We start from the raw sequence: 5,331 nt of genomic DNA, 5'->3' as shown, positions 1-5,331 counted from the left end.
GAGCAAATGCAAATAACCTCATCAAGAAATGAAACATGAGATATTACAACTGACATCACTGAAATAAGAAAGATCGTTCAAGGCTACTGTGAACACCTTTACACACATAAACTAGAAAACCTAGAAGACATGGATACGTTCCTAGAAAAATACAACTGTCTTAGTTTAAATCAGGAAAAATTAGATACCTTAAGCAGGTATCTAATTTTAACAAGCAGTGAGATTGAAATGGTAATTTAAAAATTACCAACAAAAAAAAGTCCAGGACCACACAGATTCACAGAAGAATTCTACTAAACATTCAAAGGAGAATTGGTACCAATACTTTTGACACTATTCCACAAGACAGAGAAAGAAGGAGCCCTCCCTAATTCATTCTATGAAGAACTCTCCCTATTCATTCTATGAAGCCAGCATCACCATAATACCAAAACCAGGCAAGGACAAAAGAAACCAAAAAAGACAAACCAAAGGATAAAAGAAACCAAAAGACAAAAGAAACAAAAAAAAAAAGAAAACTATGTACCAATATTCTTGATGAACATAGATGCTAAAATCTTTAACAAAATACTAGCTAATTGAATCCAACAACTTATCAAAAAGATAATCCAGCACGATCAAGTGGCTTTCACAGAAGGAATGCAGGGTTGGTTTAATATATGCAAGCCAATAAATGTGATACATCACATAAACAGAAATAAAAACAAAAATCACATGATTATCACAATAGATGCAGCAAAAGCATCCCACAAAATCCAGCACACACCTTTATGATGAAAACTTTCAGCAAAATTGGCATAAAAGGGACATACCTCAATGTTATAAAAGTAATCTGTGACAACATAATACTGAATGGGGAAAAGTTGAAAGCATTCCCTCTGAGAATTGGCACAAGACAAGAATGCCCACTCTCACCACTCTTCTTCAACGTAGTAGTGGAAGTCCTAGCCAGAACAATCAGATGAGAGAAAGAAATAAAGGGCATCCAAATCGGTAAAGAGGAAGTCAAATATATTGCTGACAATATGATTGTTTACCTTGAAAACCCTAAAGACTCCTCCAGAAAGCTCCTAGAACTGATAAAATAATTCAGCAAAGTTTCGGATACAAGATTAATGTACACAAATCACCAGCTCTTCTATATACCAACAGTGACCAAACAGAGAATCTAATCAAGAACTCAACCCCTTTTACAATAGCTGCAAAAAATAAAATAAAATACTTAGGAATATACCTAACCAAGGAGGTGAAAGACCTCTACAAGGAAAACTACAAAATACTGCTGAAAGAAATCATAGACAACACAAGTGGAAACACATCCCATGCTCAAGGATGGGTAAAATCAATATTGTGAAAATGACCATACTGTCAAAAGCAATCTACAAATTCAATGCAATCCCCATAAAAATACCAACATTATTCTTCACAGAGTTGGAAAAAAATATTAAAATTCATATGGAACCATAAAAGAGCTGCATAGCCAAAGCAAGACTAAGCAAAAAGAACAAATCTAGAGGCATCACACTACCTGATTTCAACCTATGATATAAATCCATAGTCACCAAAACAGCATGGCACTGGTATAAAAATAGGCACATAGACCAATGGAACAGAATAGAGAACAGAGAAATAAACCCAAATACTTACAGCCAATTGATCTGCAACAAAGCAAACAAAAACATAAAGTGGGGAAAGGACACCCTTTTCAACAAATGGTGCTGGGATAATTGGCTAGCCACATGTAGGAGAATGAAACTGGATCCTCATCTCTCACCCTATACAAAAATCAACTCAAGGTGGATTAAGGACTTAAATCTAAGACCCGAAACTATAAAAATTCTAGAAGATAACATTGGAAAAATCCTTCTAGACATTGTCTTGGGCAAGGATTTCATGACCAAGTACCCAAAAGCAAATGCAATAAAAACAAAGATAAATAGTTGGCACTGAATTAAACTAAAGAGCTTTTGCACAGCAAAAGGAACAGTCAGTAGAGTAAACTGACAACCCACAGAGTGGGAGAAAATCTTCACAATCTATACATCTAACAGAAGACTGATATCCAGAATCTACAACGAACTCAAACAAACCAGTAAGAAAAAAACAAACAATCTCACCAGCAAATTGGCTAAGGACATGAATAGACAATTCTCAAAAGACGATATACAAATGGCCAACAAACATATGAACAAATGCTCAACATGACTAATGATCAGGGAAATGCAAATCAAAACCACAATGTGATACCACCTTGCTCCTACAAGAATGGCCATAATCAAAAAGCAGTAGATGTTGGCATGGATGTGGTGTACAGGGAACACTTCTACACTGCTGGTGGGAATGTAAACTAGTACAACTACCATGGAAAACAGTGTGGAGATTCCTTAAAGAACTAAAAGTAGAACTATTATTTGATCCAGCAATTCCACTACTGAGTATCTACCCAGAGAAAAAGAAGTCATTATATGAAAAACCTACCTGCACATGCCTATTTATAGCAGCAAAATTCACAATTGCAAAATTGTGTAACCAACCCAAATGCCCATCAATCAACCAGTGGATAAAGAAACCGTGGTATATTTATATGATGGAATATTACTTAGCCATAAAAAGGAATGAATTACTGGCATTCACGGTGACCTGGATGAGATTGGAGATTATTATTCTAAGTGAAGTAACTCAGGAATAGCAAACCAAACATCATGTGTTCTCACTGATATGTGGAGCTAAGCTATAAGGACACAAAAGCATAAGAATGATACAGTAGGCTTTGGGGACTACAGGGGAAGAGTGGGAGGGGTCGAGGGATAAAAAACTACAAATACTGTGCAGTGTATACTGCTCAGGTGATGGGTCCACCAAAATCTCACAAGTCACCACTAAAGAACTTACTCGTGTAACCAAAATTCACCTCTTCCACAATAACTTATGGGTAAAAAAAAAAAAAAAAAGGCCAGGCATGGTGGTAGGCGCCTGTGGTCCCAGCTACTTGGGAGGCTGAGGCATGAGAATCACTTGAACCTGGGAAGTGGAGGTTGCAGTGAGCCAAGATCACACCACTGCACTCCAGCTTGGGTGACAAAGGGAGACTGTGTCTCAAAAATAAAAAATAATGCAGTAAAAAACAAAAACAACAACAACAACAAAAAACCCTGAATTCGGCCAGGGGCGGCGGCTCACGCCTATAATCCCTGCACTTTGGGAAGCCGAGGCAGGTGGATCACCTGAGGTCAGGAGTTCGAGACAAGCCTGACTGATATGGTGAAACCCCGTCTCTACTAAAAATACAAAAAATTAGCCAGGCATGGTAGTGGGTGCCTGTTGTCCCAGCTACTCGGGAGGCCGAGACAGGAGAATTGCCTGCACCCGGGAGACGGAGGTTACAGTGAGCTGATATCGTGCCACTGTACTCCAGCCTGTGCAACAGCAAGACTCCAAGAAAAAAAAAACTGAATAATATATTGCCATATTGCTATATGATTATTAAATCAAAGATGTCATCTCACTCCCCACCTCAGAAGTACATTTTTTCTCAGAATTTTTAGAAATATTTACATAAAAATACATGGATATAAAAGCACACATTTTAAAAATATACAAATTGCATTGCATAAATAACTAATAATAACATTAGATTATATATATATGCTCTTATCACACACCAGCCATATTAAGGTACTCGGCATATATACCTTGTGCATATACTTACCCCAGTTCAACCCTGTTCATCATTTGCAACTCAGATCCAATTACACATCCTCAGAGAAGACTTCAAAATCCCTCCACTGTTGTTCTAGGCTAAATTCTTTTCTTACAGGTTGGCAAAGAATAGCACTGCTTTTTTTTAAAGAATGTGTCACTTCTCTAGTAAACTATAAACTTCATCAAAATATATAATACCTCTTTCTCTCTCTTTTATAACTCTAGTATCTAACATATTGTTAAGCAATAGTAGATGCCTAATAAATATTAATTAATTTATTTAATTAGTTAATAAATCTGCTGTGAAATTTCCTCGCCGTAACACTCAATATAGATGCAGTTTTTCACTTACTTTTCTATTTCTTCTACACACTTTTATCTGATATTTTGATATTTTACTATAAAAAATCAACATTTACTTTTTACTAATATTCAGTCAGATTAATTTCCTATTTATAATTGTTAATCTACTTTTTCTGTAATTTTATTCTTTGTCTCAGCCAAATAAAGTTGGTGTAAGAATTGATATATGATATGAATTTCTTGAAGTAGGTATCTTTGGATGTGATTGCTTATTTACAACTTCATTTATGTCTGCTTTGTCTTTTCCTTCCTCACACTTTCAAAAGCTGAATATGCTGCACAATTGCCTGTCTTACGGAAGTTTTATAATTAATTATTTAGATTGTTATTTAATTGATAAAGTTTCCTCACAGTACCATTTTGGCTACATTAGGAAGGGTTTTATTCATAATGCCATAGTATTGTTATTTATTCTCTTAAAGTCCTTAATTATTTTACTTATTGTTTCTTCTTGTTTTTCAATTAATTTTGATGGATTGTAATTATAAGGTTGTACATTAATTCTTTTATGGAATCTATTGACTTTTCAAAACATTTAATACCCAAGATATTATCAATGTTTATGAATATTTATTGAGTAAACACAATAAATATTTTTTATTTTGCTGCAATTTTTGGAAATTTTGACATACAACCTAATTCTCTATACACTTATAGATGGGACATGTTAATTATTTCATTACTATCCATATGCTTGTTTTGGGTTTTGGTGCCCTTATTTGAGCATAAGTTGAGTTGAAATTTTCCACTATCTGTCTCGTGAGTCACCGTGATGAAGCTTTGGTACACAGCAAGGATGGCAGCAGTACAACTCTTAAGACTCCAAAATCAGTGCTGGTTTTAGAAATTAGTATGAATGAAAATATAACCCTATGTTCTTGGATAATTTGTTATAATTTTTCACTGTATTAAGGTATTTCATTTTACTTTTTTCTTTTGAAAAAATGTTATTGATATATAATAGTTGTACATATTTTGGAGGTATATGTGATATTTTGATACTTGAATGTGCAATGATCACATCAGGGTAATAGGATATTCATCACCTCAAACATTTATCTTTGTCTTTGTATTGTGAAATTACAAATCTTCTCTTCTTGCTATTTTGAAATATAAAATAAATTATTTTAAGTGTAATTTCTCTACTGTACTATCAAACACAAACATACAGTTAGAGTATAGATGAAGTCTTTTTTATTTTTATTTTTTATTTTAGATTCAGGTAGTACATGTGCAGGTTTGTAAGAAGGGTATGTTATGTGATGC

The sequence above is a fragment of the Homo sapiens genome, chromosome 10, assembly GCF_000001405.40.
Source record: "Homo sapiens chromosome 10, GRCh38.p14 Primary Assembly".
In the NCBI taxonomy this organism is placed as follows: Eukaryota; Metazoa; Chordata; class Mammalia; order Primates; family Hominidae; genus Homo; species Homo sapiens.
Note: the sequence above shows the minus strand (reverse complement) of the source record.